General features: G+C 37.8%; 1 protein-coding gene across 2 annotated transcripts in view; it reads right to left on the bottom strand.

Annotated features, from left to right (window-relative positions):
• The window catches only part of RAB3C (RAB3C, member RAS oncogene family), a 277,243-nt gene that overhangs the window by 157,374 nt on the left and 101,135 nt on the right, over positions 1-18,734 (bottom strand). The gene's annotated exons all lie outside the window — the stretch shown is intronic.

Below are 18,734 nucleotides of genomic sequence, written 5' to 3'. Positions count from 1 at the left end.
ATTTGCATCTTACTAAAAGACATCACTTGAGTTCTGAATGATGGCTCTCCAAGGGGTCTACTTTCCAATCTCCAAACCTGTGAATATTACTTTACATGGCCAAAGGAATTTCATAGGTATGATTAAATTAATGATCTCACAATGAGGGGATTATCCTATAATTTCTGGGTGGGCTCAATGTAATCACAAAGGTTTTTATAAGGGAAAGGAGGAGGCAGGAGAGTCAGAGAAGAGGTGAAAACAAAAGAAAAGGTGAGAAAGAGATTTGATGAGGTGCTATCTTGTTGGCTATGAAGGTAGAGGAAGGGGCCATGAGCCCAGGAATGCAGGTGGCCTCTGAATGCCGGAGAAGGCAAGGAAGTGGATTCTCCCCTACAGTTTGCAGAAGGAACACAGCCCTGAAGACCCATTTTGGACTTCTGACTTCCAGAACTGTAAGATAATACATTTTTGTGGTTTCAAGCCACTAAATTTTTGGTAATTTGTTACAGTAGTAGGAAACAAATACATGTTCAATGGGAATGGATTTGCTACCAGGAAGCTAGAAGCTTAAAAATAAAGAGAGGCAATTGCAATATCCTGGGAGAGATAAGTAAACTAAACTATAATTGGAAAGGAAACTCATCTTCAGAATGAGAAAGATTCTGAAGGCATTTCAAAGGTAAAATTGATAACACCTGAAGAATAACAGAATTTAGAATGTGATTAAAAAATGAACTAGGCCGGGCGCAGTAGCTCACGCCTGTAATTCCAGCACCTTGGGAGGCCAAGGCGGGTGGATCATGAGGTCAGGAGATCGAGACCATCCTGGCTAACATGGTGAAACCCCATCTCTACTGAAAATACAAAATCAAAAAATTAGCTGGGCATGGTGGCGGGTGCCTGCAGTCCCAGCTACTCTGGGGGCTGAGGCGGGAGAATGTTGTGAACTTGGGAGGCGGAGCTTGCAGTGAGCCCAGATCACACCACTGCACTCCAGCCTGGGTGACAGGGTGAGAGTCCATCTCAAATAAATAAATAAATAAATAAATAAATAAATAAATAAATAAAAGATTTTTAAGCTGGAGTACCTCAAAAGCTACCTCCTTTCAACTATTTGGAGGTCTATCCATAAAGGAGGAATTAATGACAATGTTACCATAGCATTTTTTCTTGCCAGGCTCACCAAACCAAGTGCTCTCAATTTTTTTCCTCAGTAGCATGATTGTGAAATGGTTCAAGACCTCGAGTCGATTTCCTAGCCAACTGGAACAGACAGGAATATCTATTTTTAAATACATGTTACATATTTTATATACACACCTATGCATCAAATAATCATATTAAAAAACTTCACAGGGAAATAATGATGATGTTTTGCAAAGTGGTTCATAAACTACAATCACATTATCACCTCACTTGATCTTAGACAAACTTTGCAAGGGAACACACAATGAATGTTATTTTTGCTTTGCAGATAAACACCTTAGGGCTCTGAGTTGGGAGGACATTCTCAAGCTTATCCATTAGATCCATAAGTTAATTGTGTTTCTAAACAGAAATAAAAGTCTTAAACTGGATGTTACCTATTCAGTATTTGAATAGAATTCAAACTTAGTTCATGGAATTAATATCATGCACACACACAAAATGCATTCTTTGCTTCTCGCCATCCCCCTCATCACAGAACGTGAACATGTAGAGAATCAGGATGCTTTGGATTTTAATATTACCTGGAAGTTTCATAAAACTAAATCATATGAAACACATGTAAAGCACTGCTTTTGTCTTTTAAAGTATTTAATTAACTTGTAAGATAATATTCATAAAACATTTCCTGAGCACTTACTACCACGTGTCATGCACCATGCTGACTCATTTAAAAATTGTATAGATGGGGTCTACCTTTCAATTTAATTCAAAAACTGAACAGATTGGGGGCGTTCCAAGATAACTGAATAGGAACAGCTCTGGTCTGCAGCTCCCAGCATGATCTACAGAGAAGATGGGTGATTTCTGCATTTCCAACTGAGGTGCCTGGTTCATCTCATTGGGACTGGCTGGAGAGTGGGTGCAGCCCACAGAGGGTGAGCCAAAGCAGGGCATGGCATCGCCTCACCCAGGAAGCACACGGGGTCAGGGGATTTCCCTTTCCTAGCCAAGGGAAGCAGTGACAAACTACTTGGAAAAATGGGACACTCCTGCCTAAATACTGCGCTTTTCCCAAGATCTTAGAAACCGGCAGACAAGGTGATTCTCTCCCGTGACTGGCTTGGTGGGTCCCATGCCCATGGGGCCTTGCTCACTGCTAGCACAGCAATCTGAGACTGAACGGCAAGGCAGCAGCCTGGTTGGGGGAGGGGTGTCTGCCATAGCTGAGGCTTGAGTAGGTAAACAAAGCAGCAGGGAAGCTCTAACTGGGTGGAGCCCACCTTAGCTCAACAAGGCCTACTGCCTCCAGACAACACCTGTATGGGCAGGGCATAGGTGAACAAAAGGCAGCAGACAACTTCTGCAGACATAAACTTCCCTGTCTGACAGCTCTGAAGAGAGCAGTGGCTCTCCCAGCATGGCGTTTGAGCGTTAAGAATAGACAGACTGCTTCCTCAAGTGGGTCCCTGACCCCCATGTAGCCTAACTGGAGGACACCTCCCAGTAGGGGTTGACAGAAACCTCATATAGGTGGCTGCTCCTCTGGGACGAAGCTTCCAGAGGAAGGATCAGGCAGCAATATTTGCTGTTCTGCAATATTTGCTGTTCTGCAATATTTGCTGTTCTGCAGCCTCTGCTGATGCTACCCAGGCAAACAGGGTCTGGAGTGGAACTCCAGCAAACTCCAACAGACCTGCAGCTGAGGAACCTGACTGTTATAAGGAAAACTAACAAACAGAAAGGAATAGCATCGACATCAACAAAAAGGTCATCTACACCAAAACCCCATGTGTAGGTCACCAACATCAAAGACCAAAGATAGATAAAACCACAAAGATGGGGAAAAACCAGAGCAGAAAAGCTGAAAATACTAAAAATCGGAGCGCCTCTTCTCCTCCAAAGGATCGCAGCTCCTTGTGAGCAACGGAATAAAGCTGGATGGAGAATGACTTTGACGAGCTGAGAGAAGTAGGCTTCAGAAGGTTGGTAATAACAAACTTCTCCGAGCTAAAGGAGGATGCTCGAACCCATCACAAGGAAGTTAAACACATTGAAAAAAGATTAGGCGAATGGCTAACTAGAATAAACAGTGTAGAGAAGACCTTAAATGACCTGATGGAGCTGAAAACCATGGCATGAGAACTTCGTGATGCATGCACAAGCTTCAATAGCCAACTTGATCAAGTGGAAGAAAGGGTATCAGTGATTGAAGATCAAATTAATGAAATAAAGTGAAAAGAGAAGTTTAGAGAAAAAAGAGTAAAAAGAAATCAACAAAGCCTCCAAGAAATATGGGACTATGTGAAAAGACCAAATCTACGTTTGATTGTGGACCTGAAAGTGATGGGGAAAATGGAACCAAGTTGGAAAACACACTTCAGGGCATTATCCAGGAGAACTTCCCCAACCTAGCAAGCAAAGCCAACATTCAAATTCAGGAAATACAGTGAACACCACAAAGATACTCCTCGAGAAGAGCAACCCCAAGACACAAAATTTTCAGATTCACCAAGGTTGAAATGAAGGAAAAAGTGTTAAGTGCAGCCAGAGAGAAAGGTCAGGTTACCCTCAAAGGGAAGCCCATCATACTAACAGCTGATCTCTCGGCAGAAACCCTACAAGCCAGAAGAGAGTGGGGGCCGATATTCAACATTCTTAAAGAAAAGAATTTTCAACCCAGAATTTCATATCCAGCCAAAATTACCTTCACAAGTGAAGGAGAAATAAAATCCTTTACAGACAAGCAAATGCTCAGAGATTTTGTCACCAACAGGCCTGACTTACAAGAGCTCCTGAAGGAAGGAAGCACTAAACATGGAAGGAAACAACTGGTACCAGCCACTGCAAAAACATCCCAAATTGTAAAGACCATCGATGCTATGAAGAAACTGCATCAATTAACGGACAAAATAACCAGCTAACATCATAATGACACGATCAAATTCACATATAACAATATTAACCTTAAATGTAAATGGGCTAAATGCCCCAATTAAAAGACATAGACTGGCAAATTGTATAGAGTCAAGACCCATCAGTGTGCTTATTCGGAAGACCCATCTCATGTGCAAAGACGCACATAGGCTCAAAATAAAGGGATAGAGGAAGATCTACCAAGCAAATAGAAAACAAAAAAAAGCAGGGGTTGCAATCCTAGTCTCGGATAAAACAGACTTTAAACCAACAAACATCAGAAGAGACAAAGAAGACCGTTACATAATGGTAAAGGGATCAATTCAACAAGAAGAGCTAACTATCCTAAATATATATGCACCCAATACAGGAGCACCCAGATTCATAAAGCAAGTCCTTAGAGATGTACAAAGAAACTTAGACTCCCACACAATAATAATGGGAGACTTTAACACCCTACTGCCAATATTAGGCAGATCAACGAGACAGAAGCTTAACAAGGATATCCAGGACCTGAACTCAGCTCTGCAACGAGCAGACCTAATAGACATCTACAAAACTCTCCACCCCAAATCAACAGAATATACATTCTTCTCAGCACCACATCACACTTATTCTAAAATTGACCACATAATTGGAAGTAAAGCACTCCTCAGCAATTGTAAAAGACTGGAAATCACAACAAACTGTCTCTCACACAACAGTGCAATCAAACTAAAACTCAGGATTAAGAAACTCACTCAAAACTGCACAACTACATGGAAACGGAACAACCTGCTCCTGAATGACTACTGGGTAAATAACGAAATGAAGGTAGAAATAAAGATGTTCTTTGAAACCAATGAGAACAAAGACACAACGTACCAGAACCTCTGGGACACGTTTAAAGCAGTGTGTAGAGGGAAATTTATAGCACTAAATGCCCACAAGAGACAGCAGGAAAGATGTAAAATCGACACCCTAACATCACAATTAAAAGAACTAGAGAAGTAAGAGCAAACACATTCAAAAGCTAGCAGAAGGCAAGAAATAAATAAGATCAGAGCAGAACTGAAAGAGATAGAGACACAAAAAAACCCTTCAAAAAATCAATGAATCCAGGAGCTGGTTTTTTGAAAAGATCAACAAAATTGGTAGACTGCTAGAAAGACTAATAAAGAAGGAAAGAGAGAAGAATCAAATAGATGCAATAAAAAATGATAAAGGGGATATCACCAGCAATCCCATAGAAATACAAACTACCATCAGAGAATACTATAAACATCTCTACACAAATAAACTAGAAAATCTAGAAGAAATGGATAAATTCCTGAACACATACACACTCCCAAGATTAAACCAGGAAGAAGTTTAATCTCTGAATAGACCAATAACAGGCTCTGAAATTGAAGCAATAATTAATAGCCTACCAAACAAAAAGAGTCCAGGACCAGACGGATTCACAGCTGAATTCTACCAGAGGTACAAAGAAGAGCTGGTACTATTCCTTCTGAAACTTCCAATCAATAGAAAAAGAGGGAATCCTCCCTAACTCATTTTATGAGACCAACATCATCCTGATACCAAGGTCTGGCAGAGATACAACAAAAAAAGAGAATTTTAGACCAATATCCCTGATAAATATCGATGGAAAAATCCTCAATAAAATACTGGCAAACCGAATCCAGCAGCACATCAAAAAGCTTATCCACCACGATCAAGTTGGCTTCATCCCTGGAATGCAAGGCTGGTTCAACATATGCTAATCAATAAACGTAATTCATCACATAAACAGAACCAAAGATAAAAACCACATGAGTATCTCAATAGATGCAGAAGAGGCCTTCAACAAAATTCAACAGCTCTTCCTGCTAAAAATTCTTAATAAACTAAGTATTGATGGAACGTATCTCAAAATAATATGAGTTATTTATGACAAATCCACAGCCAATATCATACTGAATGGACAAAAACTGGAAGCATTCTCTTTGAAAACCAGCACAAGACAAGGATGCCCTCTCTCACCACTCCTATTCAACATAGTGTTGGAAATTCTGGCCAGGGCAATCAGGCAAGAGAACCAAATAAAGGGTATTCAATTAGGAAATGAGGAAGTAAAATTGTCCCTTTTTGCAGATGACATGATTATATATTTAGAAAACCCCATCGTCTCAGCCCAAATCTCCTTAAGCTGATAAGCAACTTCAGCAAAGTCTCAGGATACAAAATCAATGTGCAAAAAACACAAGCATTCCTATACACCAATAACAGACAAACAGAGAGCCAAATCATGAATGAATTCCCATTCACAATTGCTACAAAGAGAATAAAATACCTAGGAATCCAACTTACAAGGGATGTGAAGGACCTCTTCAAGGAGAATTACAAACCACTGCTCAACGAAATAAAAGAGGACACAAACAAATGGAAGAATATTCTGTGCTCATGGATAGAAAGAATCAGTATTGTGAAAATGGCCATATTGCCCAAAGTAATTTATAGACTCAATGCCATCCCCATCAAGCTACCAATGACTTTCTTCACAGAATTGGAAAAACCTACTTTAAAGTTCATATGGAACCAACAAAGAGCCTGCATTGCCAAAACAATCCTAAGCAAAAAGAACAAAGCTGGAGGCATCACGCTACCTGACTTCAAATTATACTACAAAGCTACAGTGACCAAAACAGCATGGTATGGTACCAAAACAGAGATATAGCCCAATGGAACAGAACAGAGGCCTCAGAAATAACACCACACATCTACAACCATCTGATCTTTGACAAATCTGACAAAAACAAGAAATGGATTCCCTATTGAATAAATGGTGCTGGGAAAACTGGCTAGCCATATGTAGAAAGCTGAAGCTGGATCCCTTCCCTACACCTCATATAAAAATTAGTTCAAGATGGATTAAAGACTTAAATGTTAGACCTAAAACCATAAAAACCCCAGAAGAAAACCTAGGCAATACCATTCAGGACATAAACATGGGCAAAGACTTCATGACTAAAACACCGAAAGCAACGGCGACAAAAGCCAAAACAGACAAATGGGATCTAATTAAACTAAAGAGCCTCTGCACGGCAAAAGAAACTACCATCAGAGTGAACAGGCAACCTACAGAATGGGAGAAAATTTTTGCAATCTACCCATCTGACAAAGGGCTAATATCCAGAATCTACAAAGAACTCAAATTTACAAGAAAAAAACAAACAGCCCCATCAAAAAGTGGGCAAAGGATATGAACAGACACTTCTCAAAAGAAGACATCTATGCAGCCAACAGACACATGAAAAAATGCTCATCATCACTGGTCATCAGAAAAATGCAAATCAAAACCACAATGAGATAGCATCTCACGCCAGTTAGAATGGCAATCACTAAAAAGTCAGGAAACAACAGATGCTGGAGAGGATGTGGAGAAATAGGAACACTTTTGCACTGTTGCTGGGAGTGTAAATTAGTTCAACCATCGTGGAAGACAGTGTGGTGATTCCTCAAGGATCTAGAACTAGAATTACCATTTGACCCAGCAATCCCATTACTGGGTATATACCCAAAGGATTATAAATCATGCTACTATAAAGACACATGCACATGTATGTTTATTGCGGCACTATTCACAATAGCAAAGACTTGAAACCAACCCAAATGTCCATCAATGATAGACTAGATTAAGAAAATGTGGCACATATACACCATGGAATACTATGCAGCCGTAAAAAGGATGAGTTCATGTCCTTTGCAGGGACATGGATGAAACTGGAAACCATCATTCTCAGCAAACTATCACAAGGACAGGAAACCAAAGACTGCATGTTCTCATTCATAGGTGGGAATTGAACAATGAGATCACTTGGACACAGGGCAGGGAACATCACACACCAGGGCCTGTTGTGGGGGTGGAGGGGCTGGGGGAGCGATAGCATTAGGAGAAATACCTAATGTCAATAATGAGTTAATGGGTGCTGCAAACCACCATGGCACATGTATACCTACGTATCAAACCTGCATGTTGTGCACATGTACCCTAGAACTTAAAGTATAATAAAAAATATAAATTAAAAAAAAATTGAACAGATGGGAACGTATGGGATAGTTGGATGGACTGGGTTGTCAAGCATATCCAGGAAAGCCCCCAGATGCCTGTGACTCTGGCTTTTCATTCAGAGGGGCTCTCCCTGCATAGACTAGAATTGGCATGCCATCAGGCAAACATTTATTGAGCCCTGCATGTTCTGGTCACTGGGTTAGGCAGTGGGTTTACAGAGACATATGTATATGAAAAGGTACTGTACTCAAGGGCTTAGAGTTTAATAGAGGAATGTGTGGGGCGATTTATGTTGGACCATCTATGGTAGCTTTTGCTGAATAGAAGTCACTTGGAGTCACTTTTCAATTTCTCAGCTCTACCTCTTGGCTGAATTAATATCTATTTTAATCAAAGAACAGTAAACAAAATATTGCAGTGTTTTGTTACATTTGGGTAAAAAGAAGGAAACCTGATGGTTTGTATTAAACAAGATATATTATGACCTACCTCTCATAGTTTGAAACCAAAAATGTTTATTCCCAGGTTATATTATAATTCAAATTCCCAGTCCAGGTGAATTGCAAGGTTTTAAGAAATTTTATATATATATATATATATATATATACACATATATATATAATTTCTTAATTTTATTTATATAATTAAATTTATATAATTATAACTTTATCTTAATTATATTTATATAATTAAATTTATATAATTATAACTTTATCTTAACTATATTTATATAATTAAATTTATATAATTATAAACTTATCTTAATTATATTTATATAATTTATATAATTATACAAATATAATTTATATATATTTTTATATTTATATACATATTTTGAGACGGAGTTTCACTCTTGTTGCCCAGGCTGGAGTGCAATAGCACGATCTAGGCTCACTGCAACCTCTGCCTCCTGGGTTCAAGCGATTCTCCTGCCTCAGCCTCCTGAGTAGCTGGGATTACAGGCATGCACCAACACTCCTGGCTAATTTTGTATTTTTAGTAGAGAAGGGGTTTCTCCATGTTGGTCAGGCTGGTCTCAAACTCCCAACCTCAGGTGATCCACCCACCTCGGCCTCCCAAAGTGCTGGGATTACAGGTGTGAGCCACCGTGCCCAGCCAAGAAATTATATTTTGAATCTCTAAAGGATTATAAAATTATAGGTGCCAAGGACTTACAACCATTGTCTAAATACTTTATTTTGGAGACAGTAATTGAAAAAGGAATAGAAATGGAAAAGCAATGCCAGAAAAGTTGGCCCAAGAAGAATCCTCAAACACAGGGCATGGATAGGGAACTATCTGGGGGTGGGGGTGGTGGATATTGATGCTTACTTCTATTTGAATGAAGTGCTATTATCACCTCAATGTTTACAGTAAAAATGATGCATATGGGCCAAAACTCAAGAGAATATGTAACGTTCTAACTGTCATAATGTTTTTCCCACTTAAATTTAATGTTATCTTGGTGGTAGTAGGCTAAACTTTATGCTTAACATCAAAATAAAATCCCAGCTACTGGCAAAAGATATCATTACCTATCCTTCCTATTCAATTATAAATATGAGGTCAGTCTATTCTTTTTTTTCTGAACATTATTTTCTTCCTAGCAAATATGTATTTGCATTTCTGACTAATAGTATACTAATTCATTGTGTTTTTTAAACAAATGCATTATCGAAACGTTTGAACAAACAGTGAATATTCCATTAGCTAAACTTTGAGTTTATAAAACACTGAGATAAAAATGGACGTGGCTATATTTTAAGATCTATTTAAATTGCATATACAACCTTATTCTTTCATTGCTGTGACTATACATACTTTCAGATTTTAAGTGTCCAACCATTTGGAGCTATTTTCATGCCAGATGTATCAGAAAAGAACCATTGTACAGCAGGCTTACTCATCCTTGGGTGTTCTGACCTTGAAGAAAAAGCGTCACTTTATTGCTTTAGCTGAAGTCTAGACTGTGATCCCCTGGTCTAAAATATGCTTGGGTCCATGAATCTTCAGAACACAATCACATTTTGTGAAGGGAAGAATGGAAGATTCACTTATGATTAAAGAACAAGAAGACCAGTTCCACACACTAATCGAATCATGGTATAAATGTGATTTATCTGGTGTGTTTTTTCAGTGACATCACAGGTGAGCAGAAAATAGATAAACTCTAGTCCAAAAGTGCATTATGCAAAAAAATATACATTTTGAGATCAAACACCCACTTGTATTCATTGCATGTCTGGGTTCTAGGTACAGGCACAGTACCAGAAGCTTTCAGTAATATGACATTATTATGTATATTCCCTGAAAAGACATTTTGTACCAAGACTGTTCCGTCTCAGTCCCAGTCAGTGTCTCTCAGAGAGTCTATTATGCCTGGTAATTACCCACATTTTCTCCTTCCACACAGATCTTTTAATTAGTGGATTTAAAGATGTAAAAGTGTTTTGGCTGGTTTCTCCTTACGTCTGTGTCAATGCTAAGAAAGAAACATCTCTTCTTCCCTTTCTTGCTTCTTTCCTTGGCTTTTCATTTCCTGTTAATTAAACCAATATTTATCCAGAAGACACCCCATCTATACGTCTCCAACACTCTCCGGTTGTTAATCTCTTCTCCATTTGGAGAAAGAAAACTCAGCCCACTTATGAACAAATGCAGAAGAAACTTCATTATACATTCCCCCACAGCCTAAAGACTAGATTCAGTAAGACAAGAGTGGGTGTGGGAATCTGTACTTTTAGTAGCCCTATGGGAAATTCTGATGTAGGTGCACTGTGGACCTCATTCTAAAAATGAACTAGTGGCTTGAAAGAAATAAAGCAATTTATCCATTTTTTTTTTTTACTGGAAATTGTGTGAACTATCATAATGTATGTGTTTTTGGTGACTTAAATATACAGTTCTTAGTAATAAGCACATACAAAAGTGGCTTAAGAGCAACTTATCACGAAACATGAAAATCTTCTGTAAGCTATCATCAATGATAGCCTCTTATCTTATGATCAATTGCTATACTTTTTAAATGTGGTAACTGGATTTATTAGTTATTACAAATCTTATTAGTTATATCACCATATTATAAACTAATAGAACTATAGTAATAAGAAATATTAATGATCTCCACCTAACTATACATCCTGCTTTCATCTTTCATGCCTTTCTATAGTCTGCTTTTTTTTTCTTTAACTACAAAGGCAGCAAAGAACCTTGTGCCATTTCTCAGCCTAAGCAGAAAGTAGACCTGACAGTTTCAAGTTTTTTACTTTCCAGAGGCCTAAGCTGCTGCGTAAGAAGCTGGATTGCCCTGTTGGAGAGACTATGTGAAAAGATACAGAGAGACAGAAAGACCTAGAGACTGCATGGAGGAAAATTAAAGAATCCAGCTGACAGAAATCTGTGGCCCCAAACATACAACCCCAGTTAGGTTATTGCAGCCAACACTAGCTGTCTAAGCCACCCCAGTTGAGATATCAGACATGTGAGTACAGAAGCCATTTTGCACATTTCACTCCAGCAGACATCATGTGGAGAGAGATGAATTCTCCACACCATGTCCTGTCCAGTTTTTTTACATAGGAAACCATGAGAAGTAATAAAATATTTTAAGCCTAAAACTTAGTTTTGGTATAGTTTGTTACACACTAATAAATAACTGAAACAGGAATGAATTCAGTTACCATTGTTTCAGTTTTAAAAATAATATTTTAAAATTAGAAAACATTAAGACCATCTCAAATGGCTATAGAATTCTTAACTAGAAGTACCTATTTCTAATGCCAAGAACTGGGTCATTCAGGTCTATATAGCTTTTCCTGTTGCTTCTCAATAACCTTATTTCTGCCTCTAGAGAAGGGTATACATTTTAAAAAGTAATTCTTATAGGAGGAGGCAGTTTGGATGGATGCCAGTATGCATAACTCTAGGTATAAATTGTAAAGTAGTTTAGAGGAATTAGTGAGCCATATAAACTTCGAGATATCTCCCCTAAGTATTGCTTCACACATTGGGCTTTTGCTAAATATTGAGTGACAGAATATTAGACAAGAATTTGATCTGGAGTACAGTTTGTCTATTATACCACTTAACACTAAGCAGTGTACTTTAATAGTCATCTGAACAAGGAGAAGAGTTGCATCCTCTCAGGGCTTTGAGGAGAAGTTGAGGAGGCTGTCAGGAATAACGGCCTGAACAGAGGACATTTCCACCCCACTTAACTTGTGTCAAGGGAATGAATGGAAGGAGGAAAGGCCATGATTCTCTTTAAGAAATAATTTTGGATCTGCTCTCCCACTAGACAAATGGATAGTCAAGCCTCATTGTCTTCACCATCAGGCATGGCAACACTGATTTTAACCACCCCCACAATCCAAATTTTGGAACGGTCACAACCAGAAATTAACCTGGGCCATACACTTTTTTTTCTTCAACAAAACATCTACAGTAAATAAAATAAAAATAAAAATAAAATTATCTTGAGCAGAATTACTTCATGGGATGCCCTCTAAATTATCTGGTTACAAAATAGACATCTACATAACTGAAATATTTAAATTGCTGTAGGATCTCATACTTAAGCCAGTTAAAAGTTAGGAATTCATTGTGAAAATTACCTTTAGTTTTATTGTCTGTTGTGAAATATTGTGTTGGCACCAGGGAGCAGGATAAGTTGTCCATACCAAATCTAAATTAAGAAAACAATATTATCTTCGCATAAGAGGTAGTATATAGTAATAATTAAGAGTTCAGGTTCTGGAGTCAGATTTTCTGACTCGAATTCTGGTCTCGTCTCATAGTAGCCATGCTACCTGTGAAAAGTTACTTCTATCTCTCTAGGCTTCAGCTTTCTATTTGGAAAAATGGAAATAAAAATGGCATCAACTTCATAGAGCTTCTGTGGGGATTAAATGAGAATAAACTTGGAGATGCTTAGCCTAATACCTGGCACAGAGTAAAAGGTCAACAAATGTCAGCTATTTCTAGTCCCTATTATGGAGGATGTATATCCAACTCACTACCAAGTGTTAACAAATTATTAAGGTAAAAATTACAAAAAAGGCAAAAACAAATCAAATACATGTTTGACTTCACAGAAATCACGATTGGATCCATCAAGAGACCATTTCTACTGATTTTCTAAGTAGTATTAAGGTGTCAGTATTAATAATCTAAGATACGCAATATCTTTATGGAGTTTAATCTGTAATCAACTCCTATTCACAGATTCAAAGGCCAAAGAAATATCAATAAGTCACACAAAGTAATTAAAATGGATTGCAAAGTGATAAAGAACACAAATCTTTCCTGGTCTTTCTGTAGAACCTATGGCCTGAGAAGACAGTAGAATTGACATGTTCTTAGGAGAGTTGAGGAGCTAAACCTTTTGAGCAGATTGTTACTTTATGTAAAGGCTTCATAATTTAGTGGCATAAAACAGTTGGCTTTCAAAAAGTGGGATAGACTATGCCCTGAATAGAATCAGAAGAGAAGATTGTCTACAGATCTGATGGAGGTCAACTCATTGTCAAAAATTTAAGTATGCAATTTAGAGTTGTCTTTGACCTATTCTGGGTCCTGGAAATGCTACTACTTATATTAAACAGTAAGACAGGGAGAGGTAAGGTTATGCCATGGTACACATGGCTGCCATAAACAACATGCTCTTGGGTCAAAAACCTTCAGCCAGCCAGGCTTGAGCTATGAGGAGCATCTCCTATGTAGAAGATGGAAAAGAAGTGAGTGGGGAAAAGTCAACAGTCAACAACATCTTTACGAGATTCCTTCTTTATGGGTGCTCTGGAGAAACCATTAGAACAATAAACAGGTTATTAAACATCCATACCTCTTGGCACCAAGTAAAATGATTTTTGGTATTATATAGAAACAAACATTTTGGCCTCTCTAAAGCATTTACCAGAATTAATTAAAATAGTTCATATGTTGGAAATATCATATTCATCTAGTGTCTAAGATGGTTAATGGAGGTTGATAGAGAAGGAAATGTTGAATAAACCAAATAAAATTTTAGCAAGTACATTCAGGGACTCAGCTCACAAATTTTTGATGGTCTAAGTCCAAGGTTTCATAAACTGAAGAATACAAAATAATACAGTAGTGACTAGAAAGGATACTAGTGTATCTAAATGCTGAGTCATATTATTTCTTTAGTATATCTTGAGTGCATCTTACATGTAGGATGAACTGCACTAATGTTTAGATTAGGCTCATTATATTAAATGCAATTTATGCCAATATTAAGCTACCTCCTCTCTAGGTGGATTGGGTCTTCTTATTTTTTGCCTTGTATCTCAATTGATGCCACATTCATATAGGCCAAAATTTATTAGGTGTGATTTGCTAACATTCATATAATTAATAGTTCCTAAGCACAAGCAAAAAAATGTCCACTCCCCCACCAAGCAAATTATTACTGAAACGTTTACTGGGTTTTCTTTACTTGCAATTACTTCTGTTGTTGTTGTTTTTAGTCCACAATTAGTTACCTTCATTTTTAGCCCTATTCTATCTAATTCATATCTGAAAAGAAACAGTGTCAAGGAAGAAATCAACTTAAATGGAACTATCCTCCAGCTGTCTACCATGCACTAGCACTAGAAATAGCAAATAAAACTTGGTTTAAAATGAATTCTGGCATGGTTCCCTCTCTTTTAAAACTTGGCATAAAATATGATTTGGGGAATAGATGCACATTTTGCGAAGATAGCAGGTTATTTTGGTATCTTGTGGGTGGGCAAAACAAACCACAATCATTTCTAGAAGGGCTTCAACTCACGAAGATGGATAAAATGATCCTGCTCCCAATTAACCACTAAAAGAAACAAAGATGATTACATTGTCTTCATTATTCACTGGGGAGCTGGGTGGTTGGAGTTCTTAGCAAAGGAAAAAGTCCTTGAGCTCTAGGTCACCGAGTGAAATGACTTTGAGGTTTTAAAATGGAAAGTTTTTCTTTTTTTCAACTCTATTTGGAGGGTAACTGGGCTTGTATCAAAGTTGGTAACGTTGCTGGAGAGATGTTGTTAAATAGGCAAAGGCTTCTACCCTCCTCCAAGGGACTGTGTTAGTGGTCAATGGGCTGGACAACTGGATGGGCCAAGAGGATACCCTGTTACCTATAAATTTATTTCAAAATTAAAGTTATTGATAAGAGTCTGTCCTCCCTTTTACTTCCATTTGATTAAGAGAGCTGGCTCTAAGAATTAACTGCATGCGTGTGTGTGTGTGTGTGTATGTGTGTGTGTGTATGTGTGTGTGTTTGTGTGTGAGAGAGAGACACATAGAAAGAGAATCAGAATTAGAGACAGCTATAGAACAAAGGGCAGTACAGACAGCAACAGGACTCACAAGCCATAATCAGTCATAGCAAAACCAGTTGTTAATATTTTTATTAATTATACCTAAAATGGGAGACATTTAGAAGTAACTATTGCTAATCTATTCCTAGAGAAGGAAATCTGGAATAAAGTGAGATAATAAACCAAATAAAACTTTAGCAAGTCTATTCAGGGACTTAGCTCATAAATTTTCAATGGCCTAAGTCTAAAGCTTCATAAACTGAAGAATACGAAATAATACAGTAGTGACTAGAAAGGATACTAGTGTATCTAAATGCTGAGCCAATCTATGTGTTGTTTGGGTATTTGTCTTTGATCCCTTTTGTCTTTCACTCTTTCCTATCAACTTTGTCTCCATAGGTCACTCTACAAATGTCATGATGATATTTTTCAACTTCTTTGTGCTGCCTTGAATTATGGTACTTCCTGCCTCCAATAGCATCCAGTGCTATTAACCTAATTCAGACTGTCATCACTTATCACCTGGATTAAAGCAGCATCTCCTAATTGGTCTTTCTAATTCCAGTCTTGTTTCCCTCTAATTCACATTTCACCCACAGGCATCTTCATAAATTACATATCTAATCATGTCACCTGCTTTTCTTTTAAAATTATTTCCTGCAGATTAAGTATAACCTTTCTAGCATAGCTCACAATAACTTCATTTCTTTGTATTCTATGCTACTGCCATATTGAACTATGCGTCCATCTCTGAAAGGTGAACACTTTCTATATCTACGTTTTTTCCATGTGCCTGGGTTTTTATTTATACATAGAATCTAAGCCCTTAGAGAACACGGAACTTAGTGAATGTATTCACTATGGTATTCCCATTTTCTGAGCTCCTAGAAGAATGCCTAGCTCATAGTAGATACTCAATAACAGTCTGGTAAGTATGCCAACTAAATGAATGAATGATCAACTGTATTAGCTTAACTAATGTCAGCTTGAGCCAGTTCTCTCAGAGAAGAAGTTATTATCTGTTGCAGGCTGAAAAATACCCCAAGGATGTATACATCCTATTTCCTGGAACCTATGAATATGTGGTCTTATTTGGGAGAAGGAAATTTGCAGATATAATTTAGTTAAGGATCTTGAGATGGAGAGTTATTCTGGATTTTCTGAGTGGGCTCAATGTAATCACATAAGTCTTTTTAAGTGGGCGACAGAAAGTTAAAGAGAGAAGATTCTGGGTTTGAAGATGGAGGAAGAGGCCATGAACCAAAGGATGCAGGCAGTTTCTGGACACTGGAAAGCACAAGACAGGAGATTCTTCCTGGAACCTCCAGAACGAATGCAGCCTAATAGATTCATTTTAGACATCTAACCCCAAGAACATAAGATAATACAGTAGTTGTCCCTTATCTGAGGGAAATATGTTCCAAGACTCCCCAGTGGATGCCTGAAACCATGGATAGTACAAAACCCTATATAGACAGTCATCCTTTGGTATCTATGAGGGATTAGCATGTATCTGTATGTGTCTCATGAAAGTTAGGGTCAATAAAGATTCTATCACATTTTCTTATTAAACATAAGCTTAAGGATTTCTCTTTTTAAGTAAAAACTGCCACACCAATATCTTCAGTAACATATTATCAGTAACATATTGCAATATATTCAGTAATATATTACCAGTAACACATTGTGATAATCTGTAACAAATGTTTCCCAGTGGGCAGAACTGGGCCTCTAAAACAAGTGGATAGCATCACTGTCTTTTTTGACCCAGGAGCCCACATGGCGGTAAAATCTTCCCTAATGCATGCAGCCAGCCAAGGGCAAAAGTAGGATTGCAACTCCTGGTCACCAATTTGAACAATGATATCTTGCTATGATGACTTCTGATCCCCCAGAAAGCCAGATAACGGTTTTATTTGGCAGTGCTATTCCTGCAGACATTGCCCTTTCATTAATTAATACTCCCCTCCTATATGAGCTGCTAAATTCAAACAGGCCTGAAAATGGCCTCCATTAAGAAGATCCTTTACCTTTTTCCTATGAACCAGTGTGGATATGGGGGTCAGGTAAGAATGTTCAGCTAAGCCACAGCCAGAAAAAAAGACACTATACACTTCCTAGAGCTGCTCACTTACTTGGCCTGATAGCCTACTAACTGTGGCACCCCATAACCTAAGTTGGCATTCCAACTGAGGCCTGTGGATCTCTAGGCTGCCTCAAAAGAAGTGATAAAGACTGCTTCTGTCAATCCCAGGTCCTGTTCCAAAATTAAGTTGATTCCAAAACCTGAAGAAACAGAGTTGCATGTTTAATGATGTACAGACACTGAAATCTGTACAGGCTCAAGTCCCTGGTATAAAATGGCATAGTATTCGCATATAACTTACGCAGATCCTCCTGGATACTTTAAATTATCTCTAGATTACTTATAATACCTAATACAATGTAAATGCTATGTAAATAGTTGTTATACGGTATTGTTTAGAGAATAATGATAACGGTAAAAAGTCTGTACATGTTCAGTGCAGATGCATGTTTTTCTGGATATTTTCAGTTCATGGTTGGTTGGAGTCATGGATGTGGAATGCACAAATATGGAGGGCTGGCTGTACTATATTTTTCCTGTACATATTGATGATAAATTTTAATTTATAAGTTGAGCGTAGTAAGAGATGAACAATAATAATAAAATAGAACAATTATAAAAATATGTCAGCATCAATACTCTTGTGCTTTGGTACCATTAGATTATTAAGTTAAGTAAGAGTTACTCAAATGCAAGCACTGCGATATTGGGACAGTTGATCTGATAACCACAGTAGCCACTATATTACTAACAGGAGGGTAGTGTATGCAGTGTGGATAGTATGGACAAAGGGATGACTCATGTCCTAGACAGGATGGAGTGGAACAGTGTGAGATTCCATCACACTACTCAGAATGGGATGCAATTTTAAATGTATGAATTGTTTATTTCTGGAATTTTCCATTTACACTTTTTTAACCATGGTGGACCACAGGTAACTGAAACTATAGAAAGTGCAACCATGGATAAGGGGGAACAACTATACATTTGTGTTTTTTTAAGCCATTAAGCTTGTGGTACCCGGTTATAGCCGCAATAGGAAACCAATACATCATTCCTGTATTCCCAGTGTTCATGTGCCTGTATGCAGATATAACCAAAATGCAGACGTGTACATAACTGGTTCCATGTACAATTCTAAGTGGTTTACAAAGTATATGAAAAAGATAACTTTATTTTTAAACAGAAAAATAACAAAAAAGAATTGCAGACCAGGAGGAAAAGTATATAAGAAGAATGAAGCCAGGAATTCAAA

Source organism: Homo sapiens, chromosome 5 (genome assembly GCF_000001405.40).
Source record: "Homo sapiens chromosome 5, GRCh38.p14 Primary Assembly".
NCBI classification, from domain to species: Eukaryota; Metazoa; Chordata; class Mammalia; order Primates; family Hominidae; genus Homo; species Homo sapiens.
The sequence above is the reverse complement of the archived record's forward strand: the minus strand, read 5'-3'. Positions and strand labels throughout refer to the sequence as shown.